The 19747-nt window shown below is 34.6% G+C and overlaps 1 annotated feature.

Moving 5' to 3' along the window:
- Positions 8349-9548: an enhancer, noted in NCBI's record as "BRD4-independent group 4 enhancer chr7:54582481-54583680 (GRCh37/hg19 assembly coordinates)". NCBI's record gives its function as "activates an origin of replication core promoter dependent on BRD2, P300/CBP, MED14 and CDK7 cofactors, and independent of BRD4, by STARR-seq in HCT116 cells {active_cell/tissue: HCT116}" and the evidence as "EXISTENCE:reporter gene assay evidence [ECO:0000049][PMID:35650434]".

Genomic DNA, 19747 nt, shown 5'->3' with positions numbered 1-19747 from the left:
ACCTAAGAAATGAGATAGACAGCAACACAATAACAGTGGGGGACTTCAATACTTCACTGACAGCACTAGACAGGTCATCAAGACAGAAAGTCAACAACAACAACAAAAAAATGGATTTAAACTATACCCTGGAACAAATGGACTTAACAGATATATATACAACATTCCACCCAGAACTGCAGAGTATACATTCTATTCAACAGTGCATGGAACTTTCTCCAAGATAGACCATATGATAGGCCACAAAATGAGTCTCATAAATTTAAGACAATTGAAATTATATCAAGCACTCTCTCAGACCATAGTGGAATAAAACTGGAAATCAACTCCAAAAGGAGCCTTCAAATCCATGCAAATACATGGAAATTAAATAACCTGTTCCTGAATGAGCATTGGGTCAAAAATGAAATCAAGATGGAAATAAGAAAATTCTTCAAACTGAACAACAACAGTGACACAACCTATCGAAACTTCTGGGACACAGCAAAGGCAGTGCTAAGAGGCAAGTTAATAGCCCTAAATGCCTACATCAAAAAATCTGAAAGAGCACAAACAGACAATCTAAGGTCACACCTCAAGAAACTAGAGAAACAAGAAAAAATCAAACCCAAACCAGCAGAAGAAAGGAAATAACCAAGATCAGAGCAGAACTAAGTGAAATTGAAAGAAGAAAATACAAAAGATAAATGAAATAAAAAGCTGATTCTTTGAAAAAGTACAACTGATAGACCATTAGCAAGATTAACCAAGAAAAGAAGAAAGAAAATCCAAATAAGCTCAATAAGAAATGAAACGGGAGATATTACAGCTGACATCACAGAAATACAAAAGATCATTCAAGGGTACTGTGAACAACTTTACACACATAAACTAGAAAACCATATCCCAGATAAACACAGACGCTGAAACCCTTAACAAAATACTAAGTAACTGAATCCAACAACGGATCAAAAAGATAATTCACCATAATCAAATGGGTTTTATACCAGGGATGCAGGGATGGTTTAACATATCCAAGTCAATAAAAGTGATACACCACATAAACAGAATTAAAAACAAAAATCACATGATCATCTCAATAGATGTGGAAAAAGCATTTGACAAAGTCCAGCATCCCTTTATGCTTAAAATTCTCAGCCAAATTGGCCTACAAGGGACATACTTCAATAATGATAAAAGCCATCTATGACAAACCCACAGCCAACATAAAACTGAATAAGAAAAAGTTGAAAGCGTTCCCTCTGAGAACTGGAACAAGACAAGGATGCCCACTCTCACCACTCTTCTTTAATATAGTGCTGGAATTCCTAGCCAGAGCAATCAGTCAAGAGAAAGAAATAAAAGGCATCCAAATTGGTAAAGAGAAAGTCAAACTGTCACTGTTTGCTGATGGTGTGATTGTTTACCTAGAAACCCTACAAACTCCTCCAGAAAGCTCCTAGAACTGATAAAAAAATTCAGCAGTTTCCAGATACAAAATTAATATACACAAATCAGTAGCTCTTCTATATGCCAACAACGACCAAGCTGAGAATCAAATCAAGAACTCAATCCCTGTTACAATAGCTGCAAAAAAAAAAATAAAATAGGAATATACCACACCAAGGAGGTAAATTTTTAGTTTCTAGTTTCCTCTACAAGGAAAACTACAAAACACTGCTGAAAGAATCATAGATGACACATGGAAACACATCCCATGCTCATGGATGGGTAGATTCAATATTGTGAAAATGCTCATACTGCCAAAAGCAATCTACAAATTCAATGCAATTCCCATCAAAATACCACCATTATTCTTCACAGAATTAGAAAATAAAATTCTAAAATTCATATGGAACCAAAGAAGAGCCCAAAGCAAGACTAAGCAAAAACAACAAATCTGGAGGCATCAAATTACCTGATTTCAAACTATACTATAAGGCCATAGTCACAAAAACAGCAAGGTATAAAAATAGGCACATAAACCAATGGAACAGAATAGAAAGCCCAGAAACAAACCCAAATACTTACAGCTAACTGATCTCCAACAGAGCAAACAAAAACATAAAGTGGGGAAAAGACACTCTTTGCAACAAATGGTGCTGGGAAAATTGATGAGCCACATGAAATTGGATCCTCATCTCTCATCTTATAAAACATCAACTCAAGATGGATTAAGAACTTAAATCTGAGACCTGAAACTAAACATTCTAGAAGATAACATTGGAAAAACTCTTCTAGACATTGACTTAAGCAAGGACTTCATGACGAAGAACCCCAAAGCAAATGCAATAAAAAGAAACATAAATAGCTGGGACTTAATTAAACTAAAGACCTTTGCACAGCAAAAGAAACAGTCAACAGAGCAAACGGACAACCCACAGAATGGGAAAAATTTTCACAATCTAGACATCTGACAATGGACTAATATCCAGAATCTACAATGAACTCAAACAAATCAACAAGAAAAAATGTAACAATGCCATCAAAAAGTGGGCTAAGGACATGACTAGATAATTCTCAGAAGAAAATATACAAATGGCTAACCAACATATGAAAAAATGCTCAGCATCACTAGTGATCAGGGAAATGCAAATCAAAACCACAATGTGATACCACCTTACTCCTGCAAGAATGGCCATAATAAAAAAAATCAAAAAATAGTAGATATTGATGTGGATGTGGTGAACAGGAAACACTCCTGCACTGCTGGTGGGAATATAAACTAGTACAATTACTATGGACAATAGTGTGGAGATTTCTTAGAAGAACTTAAAGTAGAACTACCATTTGATCCAGCAATCCCACTACTGGGAATCTACCCAGAGGAAAACAAGTCATTATTTGAAAAAGATACTTGTACACACATGTTTATAGTAGCACAATTTACAAATGCAAATTGTGGAATCAACCCAAATGCCCAACAATCAACGAATGGATAAAGAAACTGATATATATATAAAATAAATAAATAAAATAAAATAAAATAAATATATAATAAAATAAATAAATAAATAAAATAAATATATATATATTTATAAAATAAAATACTACTCAGCCATAAAAAGGAATGAATTAATGGCATTTGCAGTGATCTGGATGGGAGATTATTATTCTAAGTGAAGTAACTCAGCAATGGAAAACCAAACACTGTTTGTTCTCACTCATAAGTGGGAGTTAAGCTATGAGGATGCAAAGGCATAAGAAAGACACGATGGACTTTGGGATAAGACTACAAATAAGGTGCAGTATATAGTGTTCAGCTGATGGTTGCACCAAAATCTTATAAATCATCACTAAAGAACTTATGTAATGAAACATGACCTTTTCCCCCATGACCAATAAAAATAAAAAAAAAATTGGAAAAAGAAACAAAAAGGATCAAAGTAAAACACCTGTTATTGACCTAAAGAAATGGAGATCTATTAGTTGTCTGACACATAATTCAAAACAATATTCTTAAAGAACTCAGCAAGGTATAATAGAACACACACATTCAACAAAACAATATCAAGAAAAGAATACATAAGCAAAATTATAATTTAAACAAAGAGACAGACATAAAAAAATCCAAGAGCTGAAGAATACAATGACTTAACTTAAAAATTTAACAAGAAAACTTCAGTATCAGACTCAATAAAAATGAAGAATCAGTGACCTCAAAGAAAAGTCATTTGAAATTACCCATTCAGAAGAATAAAAAAAAATAAGAAAACCTATGACTCTTGTAAAACTCTGTGTAGTAAACCAATATACAAATAATGAATATTTTGGAAGTAGTAAAGAAAGTAAAGAGTTACAAAACTTATTTTAAAATAATGACAGAAAACTTCTCAAATATGGAAAGGCAAACGCACATTCAGGCCCATGAAGCCCAAATGTCTTATTTTTTAAAGAGATTTTCACTGAGATACACTATAATAAAATTTTCAAAAGTCAAAGACAATGAGAAAATTTTGAAAGCAGCAAGAGAAAACGAGTCATCACATCCAAGAAAAAACCCCTTTCTCTCCCTGCCATAAGACTATTAGCATATTTCTCAGCAGACACTTTGCAGGTCAGTAGAATGATACATTCAAAGTTCTGGAACAAACAAACAAACAAACAAACAAACAAACAAAACCTTCCAACTAAGAATATTATACCTAGCAAAGCCATCCTTTATGAATGAATGACATAGTTTCCCAGATAAACAAAAGCTGAAGAGTTTGTCACCACTAGACCTTCCTTAATAGAAATGCTGAAGATAGTGCTTTAAGTTGAAAAAAAAAAGTTACTTAAAACATAAAGACATATGCACAACATAAAATTAACTAAAAGATAAATATATAACCAAATTCAGACTACCCTACTATTATAATGGAGGTTTGCAAATCACTTTTAACTCTAGCATAAAAGCTAAAGAAACAAAAATGTTAAAATAACTATAGCTACAATAATTTGTAAATGGATATCCTATATAAATGATGTAAACTGTGACATCAATAACATGAAATGCGGAGGGAGAAGTTAAAGTACAGAGTTTTGTATGCAAAGTTAAGTTGTCACTAGCTTAAAATAATCTGTTAAAACCATAAGATATTTTATGTAAGCCTCATGGTAACCACAAAGAAAAAAACTTGTAGTCAATAGGCAAAGGAGTCAAAGCATACCAGGAAAAGGAGTCAAAGCATACCAACATAAAAAATCATCTATTCACAAAGGAGACACCAAGAGAGAAAGAATAGAACAAAGGAACTACAACATAATCATAAAATAAATAACCAAATTTTGATAGTAAGTCCTTACTTATCATTAATTACCTTAAGAAAAAATGGATTAAAATTTCCCATCCAAACACATAGAGTGGCTGAATGGATTTTTTTTAAAAAAACCTATACTTTCTACAAGATACTCACATTAGTTTTAAGAACATACACACACTGAAAGTGAAGAGATAGAAAAATTCAATGCAAAATGGTATCTACAAGAGAGGAAGGATGGCTTTACTTATATTGACAAAATAGACTTTAATCCAAAAATGCTCACAAGAGATAAAAAAGGTGATTATGTAATGATAAAAGAGTCAATTCATCAAGAGGATATAGCATTTGTAAATATATATGTGCCCAATATGGGAGCACCTAAATATATAAAGCAAATTATAACAGAAATTTTTAAAAATACAGCAATACAGTAATAGTAGGGGACTTCAATACCTCATTTCTAACAAAAGATGGATCATCCAGATTAAAAAAAATAAGAAAATAGTGAACTTGATCATCCATATAGACTAAATGGACCTAAGTGATACATACAGAACATTTTCTGTAATAGCAGTAGAAACATTCTTTTCAAGTGCATACAGAACTTCTTCGTGACAGATTATACATTATGTCACAAACAGTTCTTAATAAATTTAAGAAGATTGAAATCATATCAAGTATCTTTTCTGACCACAGTGATATCCATATAGAAATAAATAATAGGAGAAAATTAGAAAATTCATAATTATGTGGAAATTTATGCAACATACTTCTAAAGAACTAATGGTAAAAAAATCAAAAAGTAAATTAACAGAATATTGTGAGACAAATGACATGTGAGATAACAACAAAAACTTATGGAATGCAGAAAAAGCAGTTCTAAGAGGAAAATTTATAGTAGTAAATGCCTATATTAACGTAAGTAAAAGATCTAAAATATACAATCTAACATTACACCTCAAGGAAATAGAAAAAGGAAAACTAAGCCCAGAGTTGGCAGAAATAAGAAAATAACAGAGAAGAAATAAATAATACAGACAACAGAAAAAATAGAAAAGATAAATAAAACTGAGTGTTAATTTTCTGAAAGATAGACAAAATTGACAAACCTTTAGCTAGAATAACTAAGGCAAAAAGGAAAGACTCAAATAAATAAAATTATAAATAAAAGAGGAGACATTACAACTAATACCACAGAAATATAAAGGATTTCTTGAACAAGAAAACTGCTATGAACAATTATATGTCAATAAATTGGTTAACCTAAAAGAAATGAACAAATTCCAAGAAACATACAACCTACCAAGATCAAATCATGAAAATTAGAAAATCTAAGCAGTCCAATAACAAGTAAAGATATTGAATCAGTAATTAAAGACATTCTATAAAAGAAAATCCAAAAACCTGAAGGCTTCGCTGGTGGATTTTACCAAATATGTAAAGATGAATTAATTCCAATTCTCCTCAAACTCTTTCAAAAAACTAAACAGGGACCCCTTCAAACTTATTTTACAAGGCTAGCATTATCCTCATACCAAAGCCAGACAACAGCACTCCAAGAAAAGAGAATTACAGGACAATATTCCTGATGAACACAGATGCAAAAATCTTCAAAAATACTAGCAAACTGAATTAAACAGCACATTAAAATGATCATACACCATAATCCATAATCTAGCAGGATTTTTTTGGAATACAAGGATGATTTAACATAAGCAAATCAGTAAGTGTGATACACCATATTCACAAAATGAAGGATAATGATTATATGATCATTTCAATAGACATAGAAAATTTATTTGACAAAATTCTACATCACTTATTATTATTATTATATATATATTTTTTGGGATAGGGTCCCACTCTGCCACCCAGGATGGAGTACAGTGGAACAATTATAGGTCACTGCTGCCTGAATTTCCTGGGCTCAAGTGATCTTCCTTTCTTAGCCTTCCAAGTAGCTGGGTCTCCAGGCATGTGCCACCACGCCTGGCTATTTTTTTGTATTTTTGGTAGAGACAGTGTCTCAATACGTTGCTCAGGCTCATCTCGAACTTCTGGACTCAAATGATTCTCCTGCCGTGGCTTCCTAAAGCACTGAGATCACAGGTGTGACCCACTGTGCCTGGCTTGGCATTCTTTTATGATAAAAACTCTCAACAAATTAGGTGTAGAAGAAACATAATATAGTTAAGGCCATATACATATGGTAAGTCCACCACTAACATCATATTCAAGGGTCCAAAGTTGAAACTTCTCCTCTAAAATCAGGAAAAAACAAGGTTGCCCACTGGAAGTGTAGTGTTTCTATACATTTCTATAGTGTATCACACTTACTGATTTGCTCATGTTAAATCATCCTTGCATGCCAAAAAAATCCTGCTAGATTATGGTGTATGATCATTTTAATGTGTTGTTTAATTCAGTTTGCTAGTATTTTTCAAAGATTTTTGCACCTGTGTTCATCAGGAATATTGACTTGTAATTATCTTTTCTTGGAGTGATATTGCCTGGCTTTGGTATGAGGATAATTCTAGCCTTGTAAAATAAGTTTAAAGAGGTCTCTAATTTTTTGAATGAGTTTGAGGAGGATTGGCATTAATTCATCTTTAAATATTTAAATAGGGCACTTACACAAGAAAAAGAAATAAAGGCACTTGAGACAGAAAAAGTAACATTGTCTGTGTTTGCAGATAATATAATCTTGTATATAGAAAACCATAAAGACTCTACAAAAAAACTGTTAGGACTAATAAATCAATTCAATAGTGTTGCAAGATACAAAATCAATATACAGAAATCGGTTGCATTTCTCTATGTTAATAACAAATTATCTGAAAAAGAAATCAAGAAAATAATTTCATTTATAATAGCATCAAGAAGAGTAAATCATTTAAGAATAAATGGAAGTAAAAGTTATGCACACTGAAAACTATAAGACATTTGTGAAAAAAATTAAAGACACAAACAAATGTAAAGACTTATATTTATGAATTAGAAGAACTGATATTGTTAAAATTTCCATACTATTGAAGGCAATCCACAGATTCAATAGAATCCCTATCAAAATTGCAGAGGCATTTTGCACAGAAATAAATAGAAAAAAAATCCTAAAATTTATATAGAAGCAGAAAATGCCCATGCTAGCCAAAGCAATCTTAAGCCAGATCAAGGCTAGAGGTATCACACTGTCTGATTTCAAAATACTACAAAACTATCATAATTAAAGCAGACATATAGACCAGTAACAGAATAGAGAGTCCAGAAACAAATCTGTGCATTTACTCTCAATTCATCTTCAACAGAGGTGCAAAGAACACCCAATAGGTAAAGGATAGTCTCTTCAACAAATAATGCTGCAAAAACTGAATATCCACACGCAGAAAAAAATTAGACCTTATAGTACTATAATATAATTTCATTGATAAATCTATATAATAATTTGGTATTAATATAATTCACTTTGACTTGTAAACATTTGACTTTATTTTCCTTTCACTTGGTTTTAAGTAAGTCACATACAATTTGGTTATTTTTGATAAAATTGATCAGCATGGCAGATGGGAGGCAGGACTAGATTGCAGATCCATACAGAGCAGCTTGCGGAGGCTCGCATTGTGAATTTTAGCTCCAGACTGACTGCAAGAAGAAACCAGAAATCCTGAGAGGACCCACAGACCCTCTGAAGGAAGCAGACTGTTCCTGCAGGACCCAGGAGGCACCCCAAATGCTGTGAGTACCCCAACTGCAGAAGTGGGAAAGGGAGAACCTCCTCTCCTATATGCACACCCACAGTAGAGAAGCTGTAGGTCTGTTTGCGGGAGAAATTTCTGACTTTACCTGGAGCAGAGTCAATTTGGAGAGCCAAGTGAAATGCAGGGGTAGAGGAAGCAACAGAAAGGTCCTGGGAGCTCGCTTAGCCCACTAGCAGGCCATTCCTACTGGCACCACAGGGATCTATCCAGAGGATGGCCAGAGGAGCAGGGGGTAAAACTCCACAGGGAAAAGGATGTTTCTATTAGAATATTGAAACAATTTGAACGGGATGAGAATCCTCCTGGCCAGAACTTGGGGGAAGGCTCAAATCTGGTGTTCAGACTCCACAGGCAGGGGAAGGGAACCAAGTGCTTTTCTTTCATAGCTGGGAGGCAGGTGGCCTGGAGCAAGTTTTCAAGCCCACCTTGCTCTCTGCCTGGAAATGGATTTAGGGCTATTGTGGGGGCATGGAGGGAGCGAGACCAGCCCTTCGGTTTGCGTGGGAGGTGGGTGAGGCCTGTGACTGCCAGCCTTCTCCCACTTCCGTGACAACCTGCATGACTAGGTACACAACTCCATTGATCTGGGAACCTCACCCCCACCCCTGACAGCAGCTGCATCAAGACCTGCCCAAAGAGAGTCTGAGCTCAGACACGCCAAGCCCCGCCCCCACCTGATGGTGCTTCCCTATCCACCCTGGTCACTGAAAACAAAGGACATATAGTCTTGGGAGTTCTAGGACCCCACCCACCACTGGTTCCTCTCCATACTACCACAGGTGATGCTTTCTGGAAAGTGCTACCTCCTAGCAGAAGGCCGACCAGCACAAAAATAGTGCATTAGACCACCAAAGCTAAGAATGCTCACAAAGCCCATTTTACCCCCCTGCCACCTCCACTGGAACAGGTGCTGGTATCCATGGCTGAGACCCATAGATGGTTCACATCACAGGACTCTGCGCAGACAACCTCTAGTACCACCTTGGAGCTGGGTAGACTTGCTGGATGGCTAGATCCAGAAGAGAGAAAACAATCACTGCAGTTTGGCTCACAGGAAGCCACATCCATAGGAAAAGGGGGAGAGTACTACATCAAGGGAACACCCCATGGGACAAAAGAATCTGAACAACAGCCTTCAGCCCTAGACCTTCCCTCTGACAGAGCCTACCCTAATAAGAAGGAACCAGAAAACCAACCCTCATAATATGGCAAAACAAGGCTCTTTAACACCCCCTAAAAGCCACACTAGTTCACCAGCAATGGATCCAAACCAAGAAGAAACCCCTGATTTACCTGAAAAAGAATTCAGGAGGTTATTAAGCTAATCAGAGAGGTACCAGAAAGACGAAGCCCAATGCAAGGAAATCCAAAAAATGATACAGGAAGTGAAGGGAGAAATATTCAAGGACATAGACAGCTTAAAGAAAAAACAATAAAAAATTTAGGAAACTTTGGGCACACCTTTAGAAATGCAAAATGCTCTAGAAAGTCTCAGCAATAGAATTGAACAAGTAGAAGAAAGAAATTCAGAGATGAAAGACCAGGTCTTTGAATTAACTGAATCCAACAAAGACAGAGAAAAAAGAATAAGAAAACATGAACAAAGCATCCAAGAAATCTGGGATTATGTTAAATGACCAAATCTGAGAATAATCGGTGTTCCTGAAGAAGAAGAGAATTCTAAAAGCTTGGAAAACATATTTTGGGGAATAATCAAGGAAAACTTCCCATGCCTTGCTAGAGACCTAGGCATTCAAAACAAGAAGCACAAAGAACACCTGGGAAATTCATCGCAAAAAGATCTTTGCCTAGGCACGTTGTTATCATGTTATCCAAAGTTAAAATGAAGGAAAGAAGCTTATCAGCTGTGAGACAGAAGCACCAGGTAACCTCTAAAGGAAAACCTATCAGGTTAACAGCAGATTTATCAGCAGGAACCCTACAAGCTAGAAGGGATAGAGGCCCTATCTTCACCCTCCTCAAGCGAAACAATTGTCAGTCAAGAATTTTGTATCCAGTGAAACTAAGCATCATATATGAAGGAAAGATACAGTCTTTTCCAGACAAACAAATGCTGAGAGAATTTGCCATTACCAAGCCACCACTACAAGAACCACTAAAAAAGCTCTAAATCTTGACACAAATCCTGGGAACATAACAAAACAGAACCTCTTTAAAGCATAAATCACACAGGACTTATAAAACAAAAATACAAGTTAAAAAGCAAAAACAAAAAACAAAAAAATCAAAGTACACAGGCAACAAAGAGCACGATGAATGCAATGGCACCTCACATTTTAATACTAACATTGAAGATAAATGGCTTAAATGGTCCACTTGAAAGTTACAGAACCACAGAATGGGTAAGAACTCACCAACCAACCATCTGCTGCCTTCAGGAGACCCACCTAACACATAAGGACACACATAAACTTAAGGTAAAGAAGTGAAAAAGGCATTTCATGCAAATGGACACCAAAAGTGAGCAGGGGTAGCTATTCTTACATCAGAAAACAAAAACTTTAAAGCAACAGCAGTTAAAAGAGACAAGAGGGACATTATATAATGGTAAAAAGTCTTGTCCAACAGGAAAATAACACAATCCTAAACATATATGCACCTAACATTGGAGCTCCCAAATTTATAAAACAATTACTAATAGACCTCAGAAATGAGATAGACAGCAACACAATGATAGTGGGGGACTTCAGTACTCCACTGACAGCACTAGATAGATCATCAAGTCAGAAAGTCAACAAAGAAACAATGGATTTAAACTACACCCTGGAATAAATTGACTTAACAGATATATACAAAGAGTTTCATACAACAACCACAGAATACACATTCTATTCAACAGCATATGGAACTTCCTCCAAGATAGACCATATAGTAGGCCATAAAACAAGCCTTAATAAATTTAAGAAAATTGAAGTTATATCAAGCACTCTCTCAGACCACAGTGGGATAAAACTGGAAATAACTCCAAAAGGAACCTTCAAAACCATGCAAATACATGGAAATTAAATAACGTGCTCCTGAATGAGCACTGGGTCAAAAATGAAATCAAGATGGAAATCAAAAAATTCTTTGAACTTTAGGACAATAATGACACAACCTATCGAAACCTGTGGGATACAGCAAAGGCGGTGCTAAGAGGAAAGTTCATAGCCCTAAATACCTACATTGAAAAGACTGAAAGAGCACACAGTGACACTGTAAGGTCACATCTCAAGGAACTAGAGAAACAAGAAAAAAATCAAACTCAAACACAGCAGAAGAAAGGAAATAACCAAGATCAGAGCAGAATTAAATGTAATTAAAACAAACAAAATACAAAAGATAAATAAGACAAAAAGTTTGTTCTTTGAAAAGATAAATAAAATTAATAGACCATTAGCAAGATTAACAAATAAAAGACGAGAGAAAATCCAAATAATCTTACTAAGAAAGAGGAGATATTACAACTGACACCACTGAAATACAAAAGATAATTCAAGGCTACTATTTACACCTTTATGCACATATCTAGGAAACCTAGAAGAGAAAGATAAATTCCTGGAAAAAATACAACCTTACTAGCTTAAATCAAGAAGAATTAGATACCCCAAACTGACCAATAACAAGCAGCGAGATTGAAATGGTAATTAAAAAATTGCCAGCACATTCCAGGACCAGATGGATTCATAGCTGAATTATACCAGACATTCAAAGAAGAATTGGTACTGATCCCTTTGACGGTATTCCACAAGATAGAGAAAGAAGGAACCCTCCCCCATTCATTCTACGAAGCCAGCATTATCCTAATCCCAAAACCAGAAAAGGACATAACCAAAGAAGAAAACTACAGACTGATATCCTTGATGAACATAAATGCTAAAATCCTTAACAAAATACTAGCTAAACTAATCCAACAACATATCAAAAAGATAATCCACCATGATCAAATGGGTTTCATACCAGGGATGTAGGGATGGTTTAACATATGAAAGTCAATAAATGTGATATACCACATAAACAGAATTAATAACAAAAATCTCATGGTCATGTCAATAGATGCAGAAAAAGAATTAGACAAAATCCAGCATCCCTTTATGATTAAAACTCTCAGCAAAATTGGCATACAAGGGACATACCTTAATGTAATAAAAGCCATCTATGAGAAACCCACAGTCAACATAAAACTGAATAAGAAAAAGTTGAAAGCATTCCCTCTGAGAACTAGAACAAGACAAGGTTGCCAAATCTCATCTCTCCTCTTCAAGATAGTACTGTAAGTTCTAGCCAGAGCAGACAAGAGAAATAAATAAAGGGCGTCCACATTGGTAGAGTTTACCTTGAAAACCCTAAGGACTCCTCTAGAAAGCTCCTAGAACTGATGAAAGAATTCAGCAAAGTTTCTGGATACAAGATTAATGTACACAAATCAGTACCTCTTCTCTACATCAACAATGAGCAAGTGGAAAATCAAATGAAGAACCCAACTCCTTTTATAATAGCTGCAAAAAAAAGAAAAAAACTTCAGAATATACCTAACCAATGAGTCAAGGAGTTGAAAGACCTCTACAAAGAAAACTACAAAACAATGCTGAAAGAAATCATAGATGATAGAAACAAATGGAAACACATCCCATGCTCATGGATGGGTAGAATCAATATTGTGAAGATGACCATACTGCCAAACGCAATCTTCAAATTTAATGCAATTCCCATCAAAATGCCACCATCATTCTTCACATAATTAGAAAAGAAAATTCTGAAATTCATATGGAACCAAAAAAGAGCCCACATAGCCAAAGCAAGTCTAAGCAAAAAGAACAAAATTGGAGACATCATACTACCTGATTTCAAATTATACTATAAGGCCATAGTCACCAAAACATTGTGGCACTAGTATAAAAATAGACACATAGACCAATGGAACAGGACAAAGAACCCAGAAATAAACCTAAATACTTACAGCCAACTGATCTTTAACAAAGCAAACAAAAACATAAAGTGGGGAAAGTACACCCTTTTCAACAATTGCTGCTGGGGTAATTGGCTAACCACATGTAGGAGAATGACACTGGATCCTCATCTCTCACCTTATACAAAAATCAACTCCAAATGGATTAAGGACCTAAACCTAAGACCTGAAACTAAAAATTCTAGAAAATAACATTGGAAAAACCCTACTAGACATTGGCGTAGGCAAGGATTTCATGACAAAGAACCCAAAAGCAAATGCAATAAAAACAAAGATAAATAGCTGGGACCTAATTAAACTAAACAGCTTTTGCACGGCAAAAGGAATAGTCAGAGGAGTAAACAGACAACCCATAGAGTGGGAAAAAATCTTCACAATCTATATATCTGACAAAGAACTAATATCCAGAATCTACAACAAACTCAAACAAATCAGTAAGAAAAAAACAAACAATCCCATCGCAAAGTGGGCTAAGGACATGAATAGATAATTCTCAAAAGAAAATATACTAATGGCCAACAAACATGAAAAAATACTCAACATTACTAATGATCATGGAAATGCAAATCAAAACCAGATGTTGGCATGGATGCAGTGAACAGGGAACACTTCTACACTGCTAGTGGGAATGCAAACTAGTACGACCTCTATGGAAAACCGTGAGAAGATTCCTTAAAGAACTAAAAGTAGATCAACTATTCGATCCAGCAATCCCATTACTGGGTATCTACACAGCGGAAAAGAAGTCATTATTTGAAAAAGATACTTGCACATGCATGTTTATAGCACCACAATTCACAATTGCAAAATCGGGAACCAAGCCAAATGTCCATCAATCAACGAGTGGATAAAGAAACTGTGGTATATATGTATGATGGCATACTACGCAGCCATAAAAGGAATGAATTAACAGCATTTGCTGTGACCTGGATGAGACTGGAAAGTATTATTCTAAGTGAAGTAACTCTGTAATGGAAAACCAAAAATTGTGTGTTCTCTCTGATATGTCAGATCTAAGCTATGAGGATGCAAGGCATAAAAATGATACAACGGACTTTGGGGATTTGTGGTGTGGGAAGAGTGGGGGCGGCGATGGATAAAAACCTACGAATATGGTGCAGTGTGTACTGCTCAGGTGATAAGTGCACCAAAATCTCACAAATCATCACTAAAGAACTTACTCATGTAACCAAATACCACCTGTACCCCAAAAACTTATGGAAAAAAATTTGGTTATTTTTGTGAGAAGTAATGTTGGTGAGGTTTTCTCCATTGTTTTTCTTGGTAGGGATGTATAGCACTGAAAAATTCAGTATTGGAGCTACATTAAAAGTTGTAGGGTAATTTAAACTTGTAAATAATTTAGATACTTCAAAAGAAGTATTTCAATTGTTTTCACAAAGAATCAACAACAAAATGAGAGGCAATACATAATTTTCTGTGTGTTCCACCTTTGTTTCTTGTGTGAAAATTTCTGTGATTTTACCATTGGTGTTCTGGAAATACTTTAATTGTGTTAAAAATTGTGTGCCATGAAAATATGATAATGCAATTGGGAAAAAAATTAAAAAGGCAAAGAAATCCTACTTGTATTTTACTGTTTTTTGAATAAGTGAATTTTTAGTGTGGGCTTTCACTGACTTATTTGATGTCCTTTTTAATATAGGCAAATTGTAAACAGTGCTAGTGGTTATAAAAATCTTGCAACTTGAACATTTATATTAGAATTCTCCATTAATTTGTCACATTATTGGAAAGAGATTTTGGATTCTGTTATTTAAGAAATAATTTTGAGGATTTTGGAGAGAATTAAGTGAGATGAATTATGTAAATATTTAATAGAGAATCTGACAAATTGAATGAGGTAAGGCAAAAATCAATGCTTACTGGATGATCCAAAAGCAAATGGTTGTGATGTAAAATATCTTAAGTATAAAACAGACTGTAAGAATGCTACATGCCAAAACACATGAAATTTTCTAAAGGTGTACCGAGAGGAAAATTTTCTGAATTTAAAAACTTGTCTTACTTGGAATATTGAAGTATTTGCATAAAAAATCAAATGGTGGTGTTTTGTAATCTCTATTGTATTTCTTATTAAGGTTTCATATATTACTTTCCCATTGTTCCTGAATTTGTTATAGTATATATAAACAGAAACATGGATGAGTACAAACAACAACAACAACAACAACAACAACAAAAACTTGTCTTACTAATCAAGAAATTGAAAAAAATGAATTAATTCTACATTTAAATTTAAAAATGATCATATATGAAACTTCTTAAAAGTGAGTGGAGGGATGGAATTTTAAAGAAATAATTGTTAAATTATAAAGTAGAAAAAGTAGAATTGATAAGTATATTCTAGTCCTGGTTCTTTTTATTTGCTTAATTTAATATTTTCAATAAGAAATTATTTTAAGAACATAGAAATACCCAGAAAATAATAAAAGCAACAACATACTCATTAGCTAGACATGACACATTTTGTCATACTTGCTTCAAATCTCTCCCTCTTTTTGTTTAAGAAATCTTACAGATAGAATTAAAAACCTCTATACCTTCACTCCTTTCTATTGGTACTTTTTATTCATTGCTATTCAAGGACTATAATTTTTATTTATTTTTAATATATTTCCTAAATATGTATGTACCCACAATATACATTTTATTGTTATTTTAAAAATCTTAAATAATTTTATATTGAATTTATCTTTTTATAATTTGATTTATCAGCCAAACATATTACAGTATAAAAATATAAAGCTGAATCAAAATGAATATTACCTCTTTTGAAATAATTAGATTGAACAGACATAACTTGACTGATAAAATGTATCTTCTAAAGTTTAACTGTGATTCTCTTGGATACTTAATGGCGACTTATTTTTAATTTTGCTAATGTATTTTCTAATTTTCTATAGTAAATTTTTTGTTTCACAATAAAATGCATATGCATGTATGTTTGAAAATAAAATGTACAAACCTATGCAAAACATTAGAAAATGTGAATGATACAGATAATGGTTTACAAAATATGGACTACAAATAGAGTCAAGTAAAGAAGAAAAGACAAGTCACCATAAACAAATGCTTGGATATCAGTAATGATCATCAGTAATGAATACCTTCCTGCTGCTTCTCTCTCATTCTACTTTTTGTAGACCTCCTGCTATGGCAGTTTTAGGTCTTTTATTTAAATATCTGGAGTCAGAAATTTTCTATCACAGAGAAAAAAAAAGCTGAAAAGGCATCTGTCTTAGCCCATTTGGGGTTGCTGTGAAGGAATACTTGAGGCTGGGTAATTTATAAAGAAAAGAGGTTTATTTGGCTCATGGTTCTGCAGGCTGTACAGGAAGTGTGACTCTGGCATCCGCTTGGCTTCTGGTGAGGTCCTTGGGCTGTTTCCACTCATAACTGAAGGCCAAGGGGAGCCAGTGTGTGCAGAGATCACATGGTGAGAGAGGAAGCAACATGGCGGGAGGTGCCGGGCTCTTGTTAACAACCAGCTCTCCCAGGAGCTTACAGAGTGATACTCATTCATTACCACCATGATGGCACCAAGCCATTCATGAGGGGTTCACCCTATGACCCAAACACCTCCTGCTAGGCCTGAACTCTAACATTAGGGATCAAATTCCTCTGTGAGGTTTGGAGAGACAACCAACCAACAAAACCACAGAAGCATCCAAATCATTTCTTCAGAGCTAAACTAAATCTTTTAGCACTCCAATCTTAGAGTATAATTATATTACAAATTACTACAATTTAATTATAGAAATTGCTCAGTGTTATACAAGCATTTCATAATTTATTTTGCAATTAATATATAGTTTAAGGGAGTTTTTAAAACTTTATACAAGTTTGTTTTGTAGGTTCTATGTAATATTAATATTTACTAATATTTACCTCATCTTTGATGTATTGATGTTGGGTAACCAGAAGAACATGTCTGAGCAGTCTCCCTTATAGTAGAATCTGCATAATGCAATATAATAAAAATATAATGAAACACTCAGCTGATCTCTGTAAAATGCAGTCTCTCTGTAAACAGCCAAGTGTTGTTTGACATGATGATGAATTGGGAAGGGAATGTAAATGACTTTTCAGTGTTGAAAGGGGTTTGTGCTATTGGAATATTACAGGAGCCTCTTCCCCTGCAAGCAATGTTTCAAGACTCTTGCACTCCTTGGAAAGTTTGTAATGCACCAATTTAAGGTAGATTATAATAAGAAAAAAAAACTACTAATACTGTAATTATATAGAGTACTACTAAGATAACATTTTCATAATATAAAATGTAGGCAAAATAAATAATAATTAACCCCCCCAAAAAAAGATGGAGTAAGGGGGCACAGAATAAGTAAAACAATTACAAAGGGAATAGAAAGATGATAGGCTCAAAATGCACTATATTAAAAATGACATAAATTTTGAATGTACTAACATTCCAGTTTGAAAACAGATATTGTCATAATAGTTATTAAAAAATGAGCATGATCCAACCATTTCTATAAAAAAGAGACACACTTTAGATATAAGGCCACAGAAGGATTTAAATTGAAAGATTGGAAAGAAGATATAAAGGTGGTCCTCGTTATTCACTGATTCCAAGTTTGCCTACTAGTCAAAATGTATTTGTAACTCCTAAATCAGTATTCTGTGTTTTCACAGTCGTGCTCAAACCTGTGCAGAGTGGTGAACATTTTGAGTCTCTTAAGGGCACATTCCCAGACGAAGTCAAATGAGGTCCCATTCTGCCTTCTTGTTTTAGCTCTTCCATTGTTCAGAAGTATCCTTTTTATGATCTACTTAGTGCCATATTTTTTTTGCATTTCTGTGCTTTGTGTTGGTGACTTTTCTGTTTAAAATTGCTCCCAAGGTTAGTGCTGAGGTTCTGGTGTTCACAAGAACAAGAAGGCTGTGATGTGCCTTATGCAGAAAATACCTGTGTTGGAGAAGCTTCCTGCCAGTGTGAGTGATAGTGCAGTTGGCTGTGCGTTTAATGCTAATGAATTAACAATGCATATTAGGTAAGGTGTCATTATATAGAAACACACATAAAACAAGGTTATGTATTGCTCAGTTCATGAAATGTTTGTGATCAGAGGCTCACAGAAACCTAACCCAGTAATTCCCCTGGGGACAATGGTTTAATATTTGTTAATTCAGTGCTCACAACTAACACTAATTCATGCAACTTTATAGAGCATAATTACATGGATAATGAGAATCGACTGTATGAAGAAAGCAGTAACCAGTAAAATCATGGTGTGATTATAGTACTACCAGAAAAATCAGACTTTAAATTATTCCTAGACATAAAGAGGGGGATTTTATAATGATGAAAATGCCAATTTAACAAGAAGAAATCAAACAATAAATTTGTATGTATTTAATAACATCAAAATATACTAAACAAAAATTGTAGAGAAACAAGGAGAAATAGAAATCTTTTCATCAGTAGAGATTTCAACACACCACAAGTAGCAGAGTGAACAATCTCAATATCAGTAAAACAGAAGATTTGGACAACAGGATTAAATAATTTGACCTAATTGACACATGGAGAACACCACTTCCCACAACTGTAGCATTCACATTTCTTTCTAGTACACATGGGCACATGTGTCATTTATCAAAATAAACTATATTATGCAGGGCCACAAAGCAGGTTTTAGTAAATTTCAAAGGAATGAAATATAATAATGCAAGTTATAATCTCTGATTATAGTGGAATTAAACCAGAAACCAATAACAGAAAGATAACTAGAAAATCCTTAGATGGTTGGAAATTAAGCAACAAACTTTTAAAAATCTATAGGTCACAAAAGTGATCGCAATAAAAATTTGAAATCTTTTTATATGAGTTATAGAAAAGCAAAGCATATAAATTTCACGTGAGAGAGAGTTGAAACAATGTTTGAGAGGAAATTTATGGCTTATTTTAAATGCACATATAAGAGAAGAAAAAAATGGCTCTTAGAAATGTTCAGACTCGGTGGAGCCAAGATGGCCTAAGAGGAACAGCTCCAGTCTACAGCTCCCAGCGTGAGTGACGCAGAAGACAGGTGATTTCTGCATTTCCATCTGAGGTACTGGGTTCATGTCACTAGGGAGTGCCAGAAAGTGGGTGCAGGACAGTGCATGCAGCGCACCGTGCGCGAGCCGAAGCAGGGCGAGGCATTGCCTCACTCGGGAAGTGCAAGGGGTCAGGGAGTTCCCTTTCCTAGTCAAAGAAAGGGGTGACAGACGGCACCTGGAAAATTGGGTCACTCCCACCCCAATACTGCGCT

Source organism: Homo sapiens, chromosome 7 (genome assembly GCF_000001405.40).
Source record: "Homo sapiens chromosome 7, GRCh38.p14 Primary Assembly".
Taxonomy (NCBI): Eukaryota; Metazoa; Chordata; class Mammalia; order Primates; family Hominidae; genus Homo; species Homo sapiens.
This window is presented reverse-complemented; position numbering and strand designations above follow the sequence as displayed.